At 41.4% G+C, this 18,795-nt stretch overlaps 1 protein-coding gene and 1 pseudogene across 4 annotated transcripts in view, besides 1 other annotated feature; both read right to left on the bottom strand.

Annotated features, from left to right (window-relative positions):
• The window catches only part of NAA35 (N-alpha-acetyltransferase 35, NatC auxiliary subunit), an 84,317-nt gene extending 80,040 nt beyond the window's left edge, over positions 1–4,277 (bottom strand). Inside the window, exons 1-2 of one of the 4 annotated variants that reach the window (XM_005252127.5) lie at positions 4,018–4,277; positions 3,140–3,268 (exon numbers count right to left, since the gene is read on the bottom strand). In XM_005252127.5, coding sequence (XP_005252184.1) covers positions 3,140–3,263 — 124 coding nt within the window. In that variant the 5' untranslated portion in view covers positions 3,264–3,268; positions 4,018–4,277. Of the gene's footprint in view, positions 1–3,139; positions 3,269–3,548; positions 3,820–4,017 lie in introns of those variants that run through there. The other 3 variants (NM_024635.4, NM_001321881.2, NM_001321882.2) reach the window with 3 other exon arrangements.
• Positions 3,694–4,373: a silencer, noted in NCBI's record as "silent region_19991". NCBI's record gives its function as "represses an Ori minimal core promoter by ATAC-STARR-seq in GM12878 lymphoblastoid cells {active_cell/tissue: GM12878}" and the evidence as "EXISTENCE:reporter gene assay evidence [ECO:0000049][PMID:35858748]".
• Positions 8,652–10,862, bottom strand: LOC100130049 (ribosomal L1 domain-containing protein 1-like; annotated as a pseudogene).

The following is an 18,795-nucleotide window of genomic DNA, read 5'->3' as shown; positions in this document are numbered from 1 at the left end:
ACTAGAACAGAAGCCTAAACCATAATCAAGACTACAAATCTGATTATTCCAAGACGGGAAAATAAATACCACAGGCTCAAGAAATGCCAACAGTCTTTAGTCCTAAATCTACATATGAAGATTAATTCTACATCAATTTTTTTTTAGTTCCAAGAAGGATACCTCACATTTGCGCCACTCAACACAGTGCAAGAGCTAATTATGGAAGAGTTAATAGGATGGTATGTTGGCCACAAAATGGCATGTCACCCCCTCTCTATCCACAGTGAAACATGGATTAAACTTTATCTCCCACTCAAGGTTCCTTCACAAAGAAATAAGGCTAATTTATGATATAACTCGAAGGCAAGCCAAAACATCTCTCCCACCAGTATTCTAAACTGCTTTCTTGGGTTCAATTTTTCTTACAATCAAAAACAAGTAGAGAATGTATATATGAAAGAAAGCTGCAAGACTAAAATTAAGAGGACCTTTATAGTCGTATTTCATTGAGACTAAATTCTGCCGACCTGTGGTTTTCAAACTGTGGTATGCAACCACCCTGGGTGAACATCATGTCCCAGGGGATTCAAAGACACAGGATAAAAATTTGTACAGCTGCCTAATATCAAATTAATGTGATGATGTGGGAAGCAAAAGATCTTTAACATAAATGAAACATAAGTGTTCCCCTCAAACAACAAACATGTTGTAAAATGCAAACTTTTCCATGAATTTCTAAGATAAAACAGGAAATTATCAAGATATCTTGTACCTATGAATCAAGGTACTTTGAACTCCACCCATAAGATCTGGGAAGGAAAGGGTGAGAAGCAGTGTACGTGTTCACTCTCTTCTGCTGTCACCAAGGGAAAAGTTTAAGGCACACATCATCTCTCTTGTTTCTTTCACCTCTCCAGCAACATGAACTTATTTGTTCTCATATGTTACCCTTCTAGTCCATTCTGTCAAGGCCTAGTCCAAGGCCTTAACGCCCAAATCTGGGCTGAGTGCAAAACCTTGTCTAAGTAGACTCTTTTCATCCTAATCCATCATAAATTATGCTGGTAGAGAAACTTCTTTATATGCTTTCAACTCTAAATTAAATACCTTGAGTAACAACAGTTACCATCATTGAATGCTACTATAGAGTACTTTACATCCACTATCTCATTTAATCCCCAAAATTCTCTAAAGTAGAAGCTCTGTTTTCCAGAGTAGAAAACTAAGATTCAGATTAATTAAACTCCAAGGAAACTAAACTAGTAAGTGACAGAGTTAGGACTCCAGCTCATATCTGACTATAAAGCTTACTACATTACTTACTGAGAAGCTACTTGGTCCAAGCCACTGTACTGATCATCAAGGGGAACAAACTTTCAATCTTATGCTCAAATCCATTACTCCTACTGCCTATAAAACAAGCTCAAACCAAAAAAACAAAAACAAACAAAAAACATCAATGGCACTAAAGACGCTCTATAATTCCCAGCATTTAAAATTGTTTTGTGGCCAAGTAAAATTATTTACTGTTCCCCTAACATAAAAACCTCACCAAACTCTGACTCACATAGTTCATCTCAGTCTAGAATAACTCTATCACCTCCCTTTGCAAAAACTTGATCTCTCCTTAAGGCCCAACCCAAGCCATATAACCTTCAAAAACCTTCCCTATTTAGGTTAATAATGACAGCCCCCTAATAGAGATTACTTAAAATCAGTGCAAGATGACAGGTATAATCCACTTAATAGTCTAAGATCTCTGAGCACAAAAACTACACTGTAACTTGACATTTCTTTCTCTCTTCCTTAGATAGACATACATAGGCAGTCACCCAACTCCCAGTCTTACGTCCTTTCCACTGTCTCACTGAGGCTATAAAAAGTGATTTCAAAACAAAGGATGGCACATGATTTATCATTTTGCTTATACACAGCTGGCTCCCTTTCCACCTGCAGGTGCCCCAAGTCTTTACTCCTCCCCTTCAGAGCACTATCCAAACACACCCTACCTATCATCAAAAGACCTAAGCTGCTTGAGACAATACAAGCCATCAGGAGTGAATTCCTTCACCAGTCCTCCTCTGTCACTTAGAAATATACTTTTATCTTCATCCTAACTTCAGTCCTTCCTGTCTCAGTGTGTCCCTGTGCTTTTCCCCAATTTCTCTACTATCTCCTTGATCTCATCCTCTCTTTAACGTTCAAGCTCTCACTCTAGTTAATTTGTTCCTTTCTCTTATCTTCAGTCTCTCCCTAGACTCTTTCCCCTCAAGCAACAAGCATGTTCATTTCTCCAATCATTTACTCCTATTTATTGAATTTACTATGTGCCAGGAACTGTTCTGTATACTAGGGTTACAGAAATTATCTCTGCCCCCACGGAGCTTATATTCCAGTGAGTGAGACTGAAAATAAACAAGAAATAATTGACAATTATGGCTTCTGAAAAAGATAAGCTGTATGAAGAAAATAAAAAGTGATTCAACTGAGGTGGAATTGCAGAGGAGAGAATGAGTGGTTGTTTTGAGGTCCTCACCAGGGAGGTTAACACTTAAGAAGAATTGTGTGAAAGCGAGGGGCAAAGCAATTTAAAAGAAAGAAAACAAAAAATGCAAACACCTGGGAGAACCACCTTGGTGTGTATTACGAAGAGATAAAAAAGACCTGTGACTGGAATGTAATAAGCCTGGCGGGGACAGTGGCACATAAATGAAACCTGAGTGGCAGGCAGGGACCAGATTTTATAGACCCATAGGGAAGGAGGGTGGATTTTATTCTACCTGCAACAGGAAGCCACTGGACAATCTTAAACAAGGAATGATGTGATCTGATCATACTGAAACCTCAAACATACAAAAATACTATTATCTTTTAGATTAACAAAGTGTTTTCCACAGTTAGAAATTACTGCTCTCTCTAACCTGTTAAAGCAAGAAAAATTCAATTTTAAAATACTGCCTCAACATCTGTATTTAATGCTGTATCAAATATACATTTGCTTTAAAGTTAAAATTAGAGGATACAGAATAAGTGTGGCTAACAAACTCAACAAACCACATTTACCTGTTGATTTCATCTAATGAGGTAAGTTTAGAAAGCACAATCGTCATTCTACCCCTTCCAGATGCTGAACTTCTAATCCAAAAATCAGACTCACCTCGACAAGCTTCTTCAAAATCTTGGGTAATGTCCACCCAGTTTGTATTGCTTTTCTCCATTTTTTCTGGCATACTGAGCTCCCATCCTGAATCGTCATCATCTACAGAAGCTTTCATAACCATTATGCCTGTAAAATTAATACTGATGTAAGAGAGAGGATGTAGCTTTCAGGGCAAGAGTATTTGCAGAAATGGGTGTTTGTTTCAGCATAGGATGAAGTCTTAACTAAACTCTTTAAAGCAGAACTCTTCTGAGTCTAAGGACAGTACTGCAAAGAATAACCTTAATGCAATCAAATCGCACGTCAATTAACACTCCTGCTGCTTACTATTAGCCCACCACCTACCAGGGCCCATAAACATTTTGCCTTCCTACTGTTTAAGAAGAAAAATCACAAACCATCTCACCTCTGGCCCGAAAAGAACAACTCCAGAGCTTCCAACTTTCAATAATAGCCACAAAAGACCAAGGCACTATTCAGGGTCCCCTCTCGCAGCCCAGGACCCCATGCGGCAGCTACCGAAGTCAATCAAGGTAGCCCTTCATCTGGCCAGAGCTCGCTGGGACCTCTCCCGGGCCAGAGCCGGCCCGGACCCAGGCAGAACCTCGCCGGGAGCAATGAGGAGCCGGCAGGCACCGCAGGGTCCCGCCGGCCGGGCCTAGGGCCGAGGCACACCTGAGGCGGGCACACGCTTCCCTTCCGCCCTGCCCGGGTCAGCCCAGCCCAGCCCCGGTCCCACTGGGCGCATAAGCAAGGACAGAGCTGTCGCCGCGCGGGAGGGCGGGCACGTCCGGCGCCGGGTCGTCGCCTCGGCAACACCGGGCAAGAGTGGGGCCTCGGCCGACAGCGGGCACTGGGGAGCCCGCCGCTCCTACCTGACGCGCAGCGGGAGGGCCGGGGCCGCAGGGTGACCTGGGGTCCCCAGGATCTGCCACACGCGCGGGGGGCTGCGGCTCTCGGACACACGAGCGAGAGGGTTTCAATGGCTACGCAGGGGCGGTCCCTACCTACTTCTCCCGTGGTCACCCGCGCCGCCACGCACTGTCCGGACCACGGAAATAACGACGCCGCCTCGGCCGCCGCCGCCCCCTCCCCTCTCAGCCCAGCCCGACCGGCAGCGTGCACGCATGCGTATGCCCGGGACGCGCGACCCCGCCCCCTCTCCCTTACTCCCGGGGACTTCGCGCTCCCCGGCCACACCCCCTCCCTCGCCACCGCCTCCGTTCGGCCGATGGCGGCCGCCTTCTCTTCTCGCGAGATTAGAGACGATCGCGAGACCGGAAGTTATCTTTTTTCACCCTCTGTCGGAGTCCTGGGTAGTGGGCGGTTCCCGGAAAGAGGCGGAGCCCGGAGTCTCAGAGCCCGCCCCGTCTGCGCTGCCCTCTGGGAATTTCTTAGAAAGGTGACGCGAAGGCGGAAGGAAACCGTGGAGGTTTGCGTAGACCTTAGTGGTTGCGAGCACGAACGAGCAGCCAAGCTCCGAGAGCAACAGCGTGCTACTGCTGCCTGACAACGGATTTATGTTTCCTATACAGCGCCTGGGAGTTTCGTGAGGAAACATAGATTCAAAATATCTGCAAAGTCAAGCCAGACATTTAATTTCAGATTCTTATATGTTTTAGATTTTTTTAATTTATTAATAAAATGATCAGTTTTTAAATGGGGTTACATAAATAGACGGGCGCAGGTAAGAAGCACATCTTTATCACCACCTGTTCTTTAGGATGGCCCAAAATTAAAAGATGGAAAAGATAATACCAAATGTTGGCAAGGATGCAGAGCAACTGGACCTCTGTTATGTTGGTGGTGGTAATGCAAAATGGTACAACCACTTTGGAAAACTTAACAATCTCTCCTTATAATCATATACTTATCATTCGATCCAGTAATCTACGAATTTACTTAGGAACAAAAACATATTCATACAAAGGCTTGTACGTTAATGTTCATACCAGCTTTGTTTTGCTTTGTTTTTGTTTTTGTTTGAGACAGAGTGTCACTCTTGTCGCCCCTGCTAGAGTGCAGTGACCTGATCTCGGCTCATTGCAACCTCTGCCTTTCAGGTTCAAGCAATTCTCGTGCCTCAGTCTCCCGAGTAGCTGGGATTACAGGCGCCTGCCCCCACACCAGGCTGTTTTTTGTATTTTTAGTAGAGATGGGGTTTCACCATGTTGGTCAGGCTGATCTCAAACTCCTGACCTCGTGATCTGCCCACCTCAGCCTCCCAGAGTGCTGGGATTACAGGTATGAGCCACCGTGCCTGGCCCAGCTTTGTTTTTAATCATCAAAAACTACAGACAACCCAAATGTCCATCAACTGTTGAATAAAAACAATTTGTGGCATATCCATACAATGTAATGAATGTAATTATCAATAAACAGGGATAAACTACTTGACATACAACATGAATGAATTTCAAAAATATATTGAGTAAAAGAAATCAGGCTGAGCTTGGTAGCTGGTAGCTCATGCGTGTAATCCCAACACTTTGGGAGGCTGGCAGTGGAGAGGTCGGGTTGGAGACTAGCCTGACCAATATGGTGAAATCCTGTCTCTACTAAAAATACAAAAAAATTAGCCAGGCATGGTGGCGTGCGCCTGTAATCCCAGCCACTTGGGAGGCTGAGACAGGGGAATCCCTTGAACTCAGGAGGCAGAGGTTGCTGTGACCCGAGATGGTGCCATTGCACTCCAACCTGGGCGACAGAGTAAGAAATCAAATGCAAGAGTATGATTCCCCAAGTGAGACCCCAGGCTCTTAAAAGACATCTATAGTGACAGAAGACAGATTAGTGGCTGCTCAGGGCTCAAGAAGAGACTAAGTTGGATAGAGCTTGATTTGAAGTGATGTAAATATTCTGTTTTCGATTAAGGTAGTGCCTGTGTGGGTGAATACATTTGTAAAATTTCACTGAAGTATATACTTACAATGTGTACATTTTATTGTTTGTAAACCGAACTTCACAAAAATTGGTTTAAAAAATTTTTAAATGGCCGGGCGTGGTGGCTCACGCCTGTAATCCCAGTCCTCTGGGAGGCTGAGACGGGTGGATCACATGAGGTCAGGAGTTCAAGACCAGCCTGGTCAACTTGGCGAAACCCCATCTCTACTAAAAATACAAAAATTAGCCGGGCGTGATGGCGTGCACCTGTACTCCCAGCTACTCAGGAGACTGAGGCAAGAGAATCGCTTGAACCTGGGAGGTGTAGGTTGCAGTGAGCCGAGATCATGCCACTGCACTCCAGCCTGGGCAACAGAGCAAGACTGTCTCAAAAAACTTTAAAAATTAAGAATGCATATCTCTCTTACAGAATAATTTCCCAAAGGCAGAAGTTTTGCCTGTTTTGATCAAAGCTGTGTCGCCAGGACTTAGGGAAGTGGTTGGCCTATAGTAGGTACTCACTAAATACATTTGAGGATGAGAATGTAGAAAAGAGTTACAATAAAGTAGAAACATATATGCTAGTTTTCCAAAACTGTTTAATGATCTCTGCAGGACCATGAGATATCTAGAAAAGGATGAGCTGACTGCATCTGAGTTGTTCAGGATCATGTATAGGTTGTGACAAAAACTGATAGAGGAAAAAACACTCTTTTTTTGTAAATAAGACTGCTTCAGAACTTATATATATTTCAAATATACATATATATCTCAAACACAAATATACACATATATATTTTAAATACACAAATATACACACATATATATTTCAAATACACATTTATAACCAGAACACGGCAGCCAAGTGAAACCATTTTATTTACTAAAACTATAATTTATTTGAAATCCATATTTGATTTCTCCTAACCTCTCTGATTTAAAAACCATTTTCCCTGAGAAACCTTTAACTTCTGATGACATCCAATATTCGTTCTAATGTTGAAAAAGCAACGGGCATTTTAGACATAGACTATGTGATGAATGGATGCAAAGGAACTGATTGACAAATAATGATCTACCCAAACAACATAAGAGTAGATGGCCATTTTTGGAGAGATGGAAATTAATTCCTACAAGTCTAAATCTTGTTGTTGCTAGTAGATAAAATCCTAACTATTACGTGATTCAACACTTGTGTTGAGATGAACTTTAGCTCAATGGCATCATATTGTACTGACACTGGAACCCAGTGTCACATGAGTTTGATAAGAGCAGAGCTGCAAGTCAAAGTGGATTTTACATCAGTTTTACCATTACATAAAATAAATTAAGGAGGACCTACAGGCTGCTCAGAGAAATATTTTCAGAAAAGGAAGCAGAAAGAGTTAACATATCCTACTGTATCATGTGGCAGAAAGAAACATGGCACTGTTTTTGTGAGTTTTTAAATTAAATATGGATAATATCAAAATATCAGTTTAGTTCGTCCTACTATATTTATTTATGTATTTTTGAGACAGGGTCTCCCTCTCTCACCCAGGCTGGAGTGCAGTGGCACAATCTCAGCTCACTGCATCCTCGACCCCGGGCTCAAGTGATCCTCCCACCTCAGCCTTCAAACTACTTAGGACTACAGGTGCATGCCACCACACCTGGCTAATTTTTTGTATTTTTGGTAGACATGGGGTTTTGCCATGTTGCCCAGGCTAGTCTCAAACTCCTGAGCTCCGGCGATCCACCCACCTCAGCAGGTGAATGGCGTGGACCTGGAGGGCGGAGCTTGCAGTGAGCCAAGATCACGCCACTGCACTCCAGCGTGAGTGACAAGAGTGAGACTCCGTCTCAAAAAAAAAGAAAAGAAAAGAAACTCCTCTCATCTCTCTAACAGTTTGAGTGACTTATCGGTAAAGGTGTCTGTGCAACTCCCCTTATCTTACGCAGCTGTGGGTATGTCTCTAGACAAGCACAAAGAGCTGCTTCTCTTGTTTGTATAACTGTGGGTTTGTTTTAGGTAAGATCCCCTCCTTCCTGTGCAGGCTCCCAACGTGTATATGCCTGAAAAGAGGAGGAAACTTTTTCCTGGGAGCTTGCTATTAATACAAAGAACAAAGGGCCTCTGTGCTGGACCCTGTCTGCTTCTCTGTCTGCAGGTGCAGCCTGAGATTTTTTTCCTAGGTTATTTTATTTTTGCCTGTTGCTGTGACTTTTCAGGCAGGCCACTTCTGCAGTCTGAATTTTCCCCAAATAAGTCTTCCTTTCCTTCTCCCGCATTAGTACTATTAACTACTAGTCCTATTGTTTAATAACAACACTTATGTAACAGAAAATTAAATAATGCAGAATATGTAATTTCAAATAAACCTCTATTAAAATAACACATCATATGTCAGAATTACCTATGGACCTATGGAGGCTTTAAGAAATCTTTTTTTTTTTTTTTTTTTTTTGAGACGGAGTCTCGCTCTGTCGCCCAGGCTGGAGTGCAGTGGCAGGATCTCCGCTCACAGCAAGCTCCGCCTCCCAGGTTCACACCATTCTCCTGCCTCAGCCTCCCGAGTAGCTGGGACTACAGGCGCCCGCCACCACGCCAGGCCAATTTCTTTGTATTTTTTTGTAGAGACGGTGTTTCACCGTGCTAGCCAGGATGGTCTCGATCTCCTGACCTCGTGATCCGCCTGCCTCCGCCTCCCAAAGTGCTGGGATTACAGGCGTGAGGCCCCGCACCGGGCCAGGACCCTAGTATTTCTAAAAAGTTCCTCAGGTAGTTCTAATGTTTCCTTCCAGTTGAATCACTGACTTTAGGTCGACTGGGGTACTTTGGGTTTTTGGGGTCGTTTTGAGGGGCTATGGGAAGCTTTTCTCACAGATTTACGAAGAGTAGTAAAAAACTTGGCCTCTGGCTTTTTTGTACCTGTCTCAGGCTTTTTTCCCCAGTGAAGTATTTTTTTTCCTTCACTGACTCATTAATTTTTGGCTTCTTCCCTGGGCCTTTCCACGGGATCTCAGACTCTGCAGCCTTTGGGGTCTCAGAGGCTGGGAAGGCCTTTCTCTTCTTCCCACAAGGTGTGTTGGGATCAGGACTCTTTTCTGGAGACTTCTTTCTATAGCACGTTTTCTTCTTGTTTTCTTTTTTTTGTTTTTGTTTTTTGTTTTTTGTTTTTGAGACAGAGTCTTGCTCTTGTTGCCCAGGCTGGAGTACAATGGCGCGATCTCCGCTCACCGCAACCTCCGCCTCCTGGGTTCAAGCGATTCTCCTGACTCAGCATCCCGAGTAGATGGGATTACAGGCATGCGCCACCACGCCCAGCTAATATTGTATTTTTAGTAGAGACCGGGTTTCTCCATGTTGGTTAGGCTGATCTCAAACTCCCGACCTCAGGTGATCCGCCCGCCTGGGCCTATAGCATGTTTTTCAATCTGTATATTTTCAAGAGCTGGAGTTTTTCCTATGGTTACCAGTTGTGGAATTTCATCTTTTGATTCATTTGTCACTTTATCTTGGGCTTTTCCTCTGCCGCATTTTTTATTCTCATGCTCTGGAGTCTGTTTCTTCTTTAATTATGGTTTCTTCACTGCAGTGCCACCACTTTTAGGTGCCACGTCATCTTTACTTAGGATTGATGCAGGCTTGCCAGCCTGTTGCCTTTTCTTTTTGTTTTTATTCCTCTCCTTTTGTTTTTCAAGATTTTCTTCCCTTCGTTTTCTCCTTGCTGCTTTTTTCTACTTATTAAGCATAAATTTTCTGGTGGCTTCATCTCAATTGTTGACAAACAAGGAAAAAATAGGAAGGGCAACCGATTTCTCAGTTTTCACAAACAGAAGTTTCACGCTCTCCCACTTCTCTGGCAATTTTTCTGGAAGTCCTTTTGTGACAGCAACAATGTTTTCAACGATGTACTCAATCTGCATCCCAGTGTGACCGATGTGTGTAGCACTGCAAGAACCACTTTTAGGAATACTTAGACGGTTCCACCTATACATTCATTGATCTCTCTTGATAAATTCCTGGACAGAAGGTTTACAGATACTGAAACTTTCTTTTTTTTTTTTTTTGAGACGGAATCTCGCTCTGTCGCCAGACTGTAGTGCAGCGGCGCGATCTTGACTCACTGCAACCTCTGCCTCCCGGGTTCAAGCGATTCTCCTGCCTCAGCCTCCTGAGTAGCTGGGAATACAGGTGCCCACCACCATGTCCGGCTAATTTTTTTGTATTTTTAGTAGAGACGGGGTTTCATTGTGTTAGCCAGGATGATCTCCATCTCCTGACCTCGTGATCTGCCCTCCTCAGCCTGATACTGGAACTTTCTTTGTTTGATAGAAATGTCTCTTAATGTGTGAAGGTAAGAGCCACCTAATTCTGGCATCAGTAAGGAAGAAGTCAAAACTGCTCAGAAGGTGGAGCTTGGCTTCATAGGCTTTATATTCCTTTTTTAAAGTTTTGGAGGGGGATAATCTGAGACACGGTTTTAATTCCATGCTTGTTCAAAAGCTTTCTATAGAACTGTTATGTCTTTTCAGGAGTTGAATTGAGTTCATCCTTGGTAAATAAACAGATTTCTTCTAAATGTGATTGAATACCATGAGGCAAGCCCAATCTGACCCTCAGTTCTTTACTTGGAATTTTCCATAATACCACCATTAAAAATACATTTTCATTCTTGTTCAAAAGCAATCCATGATCATTTTTCCTGGACTTGCAATGTGTCAACAGAGTGTCCACTGCCTTTTCAACCTGCTCTTTGTCCAGCTGCTTCAGTGCTTTTGGGGACTCTGGAATCGAGCTAGAGGTTGCAGTCACGCCTGAAGTTGATTTTGTTTTCATCTCATAAAGATGCGCCTAGAATTTGATTTTTATTTCCACAAGCTGTGTATGAGAGAGTGCTTGCTTTCCCATAGCCTTTATCAATAAAGTATATGGTCAAACTTTTGGAATTTTGCCAAGCTGTTAAGTGATAAAAATGTTCAGTATAGCTGTAATTCGCATTCTTTTATCATGAGTGGGGTGGAGAATCTATCTTTTTAATGACTATTTGCATCTTTTTCTATGATCAGTCTGTGCCTGTCTCTAACCCATTTTTCTATAGGATCATTGATTATTATTATTATTATTATTATTATTATTATTATTATTATTATTTTGGAGACAGAGTTTCGCTCTTGTTGCCCAGGCTGGAGTGTAGTGGTGCGATCTTGGCTCACTGCAACCTCCGCCTCCCAGGTTCAAGCGATTCTCCTGCCTCAGCCTCCCAAATAGCTGGGATTACAGGCACGCACCACCACACCTGGCTACTTTTTTGGGGTTTTTTTGTTTGTTTTTTTTTTTGAGATGGAGTCTCGCTGTGTCGCCCAGGCTGGTGTGCAGTGGCACGATCTCGGCTCACTGCCAGCTCCACCTCCCGGGTTCACGCCATTCTCCTGCCTCAGCCTCCCGAATAGCTGGGACTACAGGTGCCTGCCACCACGCCCAGCTAATTTTTTTGTATTTTTAGTAGATACGGGGTTTCACCGTGTTAGCCAGGATGGTCTCGATCTCCTGACCTCGTGATCTGCCTGCCTCAGCCTCCCAAAGTGCTGGGATTACAGGCGTGAGCCACCACACCTGGCTGATTATTTTCTTTTCTGTTTTTAAGAAGCTGTATATATTAACTCTTGATTGAAGCTGCAGTTTTTGTAAGCCAGTGTGTCATTTGCCCTTTTTACTTTGTTTTGGTATTTGCTATGTGAAACTGTTTTTGGTCCATTTTGCCAATAAAGACATCATTTACAACTAGGGGTATTACAGTGATTTCATTAAAAAAAATGATGCAAAAGAAGTGAGCTTCAAATGGCCTACTGAGGAACCCCAACATTTAGAGGTCAGGTAGAGTAAGAGGACCTAATAAAGGGCTCAGAGTAAACAGCAGAAGAAAAACCAGAAGAGTGTGGTTCACTGAATCTGAGAGAGACGTTAACTCCCAATTATTATCCTAATAATATACATACATAACATAATATTTAATATATGTTTTCCTTTTAAAATTCCTATTCAAATAACTTTTACATTAGTAATTTTCAAGCAGCTTCCTGGGGTCTATCAATATGTGAATTTTTTACTAAAAAAATAACTACTACATTTATAGATTTTTTTACATTTCATCAATGAATTGTCTAATGCATAGATATTGAAATTCTTAAGTTTCTTTCAAAAGGGAAATGAACATAAGACAAATATCAACCAATTGCAGATACAATGTAAAATTAATAAACTTAGGCTGGGTGCAGTTGGCTCACGCCTGTAATCCCAGCACTTTGGGAGGCTGAGGCGGGGAGGATTGCTTGAGCCCAGGAGTTCGAGACCAGCCTGGGCAACCTGGGAAAACCCTGTCTCTACAAACAAACAAACAAAAAAAAAAAAACCCACAAAAATAATTATCCAGGCGTGGTGGCATGTGCCTATAGTCCCTGCTACTTGGGAGGCTGAGGCCAGAGGATCACCTGAGCACAGGAGGTCAAGGCTGCAGTGAGCTGAGATTGCACCACTGCACTCCAGCCTAGGCGACAGTGAAACCCTGCCTCATAAATAAATAAATAAATATAAATTTAAAAGTAGAAAGAATAAATATTGAAAAGACTTATGAATTAGATAAACTTTAGGTCCTATTTGAAATAAACTGTAAACAATTTGAAGCCATTGAATAAATGTGAACACTGACCGGATATTTGATGATATTAAGAAATTAAAATTGGCCAGGCGCAGTGGCTCACGCCTGTAATCCCAACACTTTGGGAAGCCGAGGTGGGTGGATCATGAGGTCAAGAGTTCAAGACCAGCCTGGCCAAGATGGTGAAACCCCATCTCTACTAAAAATACAAAAAATTAGCCGGGAGCGGTAGCAGGCACCTGTAATCCCAGCTACTCAGGAGGCTGAGGCAGGACATCGCTTGAACTCGGAGGGCAGAGGTTGCAGTGAGCCAAGATCGCACCACTGCACTCCAGCCTGGGTGACAGAGTGAGACTCTGTCTCAAAAAAAAAAAAAAAAAATAGAAAAAGACATTAAAATTTTCAGGTGGGATAATGACATTGTAGTAACCTTTTTAAAAAATGTGTGTCTTTCGGAGAGCCATACTGGAATACTTATGAGTGAAAATATATGATGTTTGATATTTGCCTCAGAATCATTCAGTGGGGCTGGGGATGAGTGGATAGAGGGAATAAGATTTGCTGACAATTGTGGAAGATGGTGATGAATATAAGAGTTCATTTTACTACTCTTTCTACTTTTGTACTTATTTAATGTTTTCATAATAAGAGTTTTCAAAACTGGGCACAGTAGCTCACACCTATAATCCCAGCACTTTGGGAGGCTGAGGTGGGGGGATTGACTGAGCCCAGGAATTCAAGACCAGCCTGAGCAACCTAGTGAGATCCTGTCTCTACAAATTTTAAAAGTTAGCTGGGCATGGTGGTGTGGCCTATAGTCCCAGCTACTCAGGAGGCTGAGGCAAGAGGATCCTTGAGCCCAGGAATTCTAGGCAGCAGTGAGCTATGATCACACCCTAGCCTGGGGCACAAAGCAAGACCCTGTCTCAAAAAAAGAAAGAAGTTTTCTAAAAGAGAAAATAATAATCAAATTTCAGTTTCTATTGGCTTTATCTCATTGAAGGAGAAAATAATCATTACTCTGCTGTATTACCATTGTCCCAGAAATACGAGTAACATGAAGCATTGCAACAGGTATGTTGCTGCAAAATCAAACATGTTGGTGTGGAAACTGCAAAGTAAATTGGGGAATTTAAAGTCATCTTTCCTTAAATGTTACATCGAACAGTTACTGTTCAGTGACTTAAATTCTCTTTTAGTGCTTATTATAATTTTATTATATATAATATATTAATATAATATATATTTTATAGCAATATATATATTGCTATAAAACCAATATATGTTTCAACAGAAAAGTTACCCATGCATATCAGCAAAACTATCAGGATCACCCATAATTTCATGCCTAGAAATGACTTTTGTTCATACTGTTTATTTTCCATACATATATCTGCTTTTATTTATTTAAAAAAATTCTCACTATATATGTTTCCCATTCTATTTTTAACTTCAAAATGGATTATATCTTTCACACTAGTGAAAATTATTCTAGACCACTCAGACACAAATATTTTTCTCCCACTCAAGATTTTTTAAAATCTCTCTCATATCTGTGGTTATTTCTCCTTTTGATTTCTGATCTTGTCAGTTTCATTCCCCAACCCCGTGCTCCCCACCATTAGGCTTGTACGAAGCTTATTTAACTCATAAGATTTTTCCCATTTGTGTTTTTCTTAAAAATTAGGTTTTTATTTCTTAATCCTTCTTGTATGTTTTCTAATGTATTAATGTCTTATTTTATCTTTACTAATACCTTATCAGGCTGTTTCCATAGTCCTCTCCTAATTTCATAAGAGTAGTTTGTTCCTTCAATTTTTAATCATTTGTATTTAATCATGTGGACATTTGAGACAATAGTTTCCACCTAAAGGCTTTGATTATAAAATATTCCTATTTCCACTGACTTATTGATTTCATCTCTCTCTTAAGCTCCCCCTTGATCCAATGATTATTTCAAAGTTTTTTTTTTTTTTTTTTTTTGAGACGGAGTCTCGCTCTGTCGCTCAGGCTGAAGTGTGGCGCGATCTCGGCTCACTGCAAGCTCCGCCTCCCGAGTTCACGCCATTCTCCTGCCTCAGCCTCCAGAGTAGCTGGGACTACAGGAGCCCACCACCACGCCTGGCTAATTTTTTTTGTATTTTTTAGTAGAGACGGGGTTTCACCGTGTTAGCCAGGATGGTCTCGATCTCCTGACCTTGTGATCTGCCCACCTCGGCCTCCCAAAGTGCTGGGATTACAGGCATGAGCCGCCGTGCCTGGCCAACTATTTCAAAGTATTTGAAATTTTGAGGGGTCATCAATATATTATGCATTTTGAATTTTATTGGCTAATAATCAGTTAACATCCTAAAGCACTGAAATTTCATGATGATATACTAAAGTATGAGTCTATTTTCATTTATTTTGTTAGGCACACGGTGGACCCTTTGAGTGTGAAAACATGCATCTTTCAGTTCCAGGGAATTTCCTTAAGTTGTGTTTGATGTCATCTCATCTTTTTTCTCTGTCCTCAACTTCTAGAAATCTTACTATTCAAATGTCAGATTTCCCTAACCGATCCTTTAATTTTTAAAACATTTTCTCTAATTTAGATGTTTTTGCTTTATTTACCAGGAGACTTTTTCAACTTTATTCTCTAACCTTTCTATTGAGTTTTCATTTTTACTATCACATTTTCAGTTTCCAAGAGCTCTTTTTTGTTCTCTGAATGTTTCTTACTGTAATACAACACTGCTTGTCTTCCACATATGCATTAGCTTCTCATCTCTCATATATTAATGATAATTTTGTCTTCTTCCTGCATACTTTATTTCCTCTAAGTTTTTTTTTTTTTCCTAATTATTTCAGTCTCTGTCTTTCATATAGAGATTTCTTCAGTCTGGTGATTCTTGGCTAGAAGTTAATGGGGTTCCAAAGAGTGGATCTAAGGCTCTGTGCTCATGATAGGGGTTTGTCAAATGTTCGCTTCACTGCTGGGAGAGCCAGCTGGACCACTTAGTCAGTGAATCTCTGACATCATTACTGTTGGGTTTTGTGTCTTGGGCTGGTTCAGTTTCTCAGAAGAGGTGCCTCTGCTCCGGGACCTTTACGTATGACAGTGCAAACTAGACCCTGCATGACTCCAGGGGACGTCATTCCCATAACCATGTGTATGAAAGACTCCTCAGGAGCTGTGCCACTTAGCCCTGCCCTAAAAATATGCAAGCTGCCAGCCATTTGGAGAGGAGGAAGAAGGTTGGGAAGTGGTGGGGGGTGGGAGGCGGGGAGTGGAGAATCTCAACATCCATTATTATTTTTTTCACTTAATTCCCTTTTTCATAAGGTACCCCAACTCTCATCTGTTCTGCTGTCTCCTCTCCAACCCTCACTAGCCTCTCCTTGCCAGAGATTTTCTCTTCACTCTTGCCAGTCATTTACAGACATTGAGGAGGGGCAGTCATAAGCAATATGGAATCAGGGAGATGTCAGGTCCTAGTGCTTCTTAAATACACTCTCTTGTTTCAACTTCACCCTAAACTCTCCCTCTGGGGGTACCTGGCTCCATCAGTTCCTGAGTCTTCTGGGCAGTTCTGTGGTACAAAACAGGTGGCTTCCCAGATTTCCCACCAATGGTTCATGAGTCAACCTTCCTGAATGGCTAAGTCATTGTCCCCCTCCATCTGTCTCGTACTTTCAAAGATTTGGTTTTTCTTCACCCATTCATTTTGTCCTTGTGTCTTTTATAGAGATTAATACCTTTGTTCAGTTCTCCATATTTAACTGGCTTAGGATCTTGAGCAGGTGTCCTGAATATGATAAATCCCAGTGTCCTCATTTGTGAAACAGACTTTGCATTGCTTAAAGTTCGAGAATCAGAGAATTTGATGAACCTATATAAAATTACATAAAGTAATAATTTTCAATTTTCTGATATCTCAGTTATTCAATTCCACTTGACCATATTATCTAGAGGCTATTTATCTTGGTACTGAAAGTTAAATTCAAGTAGTTTTCTTTTGTCATATTCATGGCTGCTGATCCTATTTTTAATTTTTTTTTAATTTTTAACTGTAATTTTTTTTTTTTTTTTTTTTTTTTTAGAGACAGAGTGAGGGTCTCCCTCTGTCACCTGAGCTGGAGTACAGTGGCTATTCACAGGTGTAGTCATAGCTCACCACAGTCTCGAACCCTGAGCTCAAGCCGTCCTCCTGCCTCAGCTTCCCCAGTAGCTAGGACTATAGGCACACGCCAGTATGCCGAACTTGATCCCCCCCCACCTTTTTTTTTTTTTTTTTGAGATGGTGTTTCATTCTTATTGCCCAGGCTGGAGTGCAATGGTGCGATCTTGGCTCACTGCAACCTCCACCTCCCCAGTTCAAGCGACTCTCCTGCCTCAGCCTCCCAAATAGCTGGGATTACAGGCATGTGCTACCACGCCTGGCTAGTTTTGTATTTTTAGTAGAGACGGGATTTCTCCATGTTGGTCAGGCTGGTCTCGAACTCCCAACCTCATGTGATCTGCCTGCCTCGGCCTCCCAAAGTGCTGGGATTACAAGCATGAGCAACTGAGCCCAGCCTGATCCCATTTTTAAACATCTTTGAGGAGAAGACCTACGACCATCTCTTTGAAAAAGCTTTCCAGAGGATTCCTTGAGCCCAAGAGTTTGAGGTTACAGTGAGCTATGATTTTGCCATTGCACTGCAGCCTGGGTTACAGAACAAGACCAAGAAGGAGGGAAGGAAGGAAGGGAGGGAAGGAGGGAGGGAGGGAGGGGAGGGGAAGGGAAGGGAAAAGAAGGGAGAGAAAGAAAGGCAGGAAGGAAGGAGAGAGAAAGAAAGGGAGAAAAGAAAAAATTCATTCTATTGATTGAGTTTATAAAACTATTAAGGCGCTCCTGCTTCAGAGTCAGTACTTTACAGGTACTCGAAGAAAAAACCATTTCAGGTTGCCTGAAAAGCAGCCTTTCAGATACTTGAAGATTTATATTGTGTCTGATGATTGTCAGCCCTGAGATAAAATGTAAAACCACTTTTATTCTAAAATAAATAGAAACAAAAGTATAGATGCTTGCATGAGACATAATCTTTTAAATTTCTCTCTTTATCCTTTAGACATGCTTTTTTAGAAGCTATAAAAATCATGTTTACCTTTTAGAACGGAAATATGAAATGCCACCCTAATCTATGCAATCTCTACACATCTTAAATCTTTGGAGAACTTTGTCAACGTTAAAAAAAGTAGAAATCTATGAAGATAATTTTGTTATTTATAGAATGGTATATTTCCATCCTTCTGTGCCAGTTATCCTTAACATATATTTGGCAACAAATGAGATTTATATTCATTGGTATTATTAAGTGGGAATATATTATGTGAAGTTAAGACTAAGAATATGACTCATTCAAAACTGGAAGGAGTAGCTAAAAAAGGATCCAAAATGAAACCTACTGTAACAATCTTTCCTATCAAATCATTGCCAAAATAATTTGAAAATAATCCAGATAAAATATTTTGGGTAGTGTTAAGGGAGAAAATAGATCCTCTGTTACAAACTATGATTAATAACATTTCCAGTGTTTTTCAGCCTTTTCCTCCTTAGGGATGTTCGAGAAGTAGGATTGCAACAGATATGCTAATACATGAAATTTGGAATTAACGGAAATTATAATAGCAGCACATGAGTGTTGGAATACCTGGAGTTATACTAAAGAATCCCAAGAAACATCATAACTTCTAGATTCTACTAGAATCTAAGTTAATCAAGACATACACTTCCATGCACATATTACAATGAAAACAGAGACAACTTAGAAGACATCTGCAAAACACTTGCAGTGCAAACTTTCTGGAAATTAAAGAAGACTGAAGAAGATATTAAATGCCTATTTCTTAGGATTTTGGTCTGGAACATTTACTTCTGCACATAGTCTTTGTTCTGCTGATGGCCAACTACATTTATGTTTCAGAAACTTTCTCCGCAACATAGACCTCGAAAAATGATTCCTCGAATCTTTACATGGTGCTCGACTTTCCTCCATATGAGAAAAATATAGAACAATATTACCTCTTTTACCCTGAAGTCCATAACTGCATTCCAGACTCTACTTATTTTTCCACTGTGATGCTTTCTTTATTGATTACTTATC

This window comes from Homo sapiens, chromosome 9 (assembly GCF_000001405.40).
Source record: "Homo sapiens chromosome 9, GRCh38.p14 Primary Assembly".
Lineage (NCBI taxonomy): Eukaryota > Metazoa > Chordata > Mammalia > Primates > Hominidae > Homo > Homo sapiens.
Note: the sequence above shows the minus strand (reverse complement) of the source record. Positions and strands in the feature narration are given on the sequence as shown.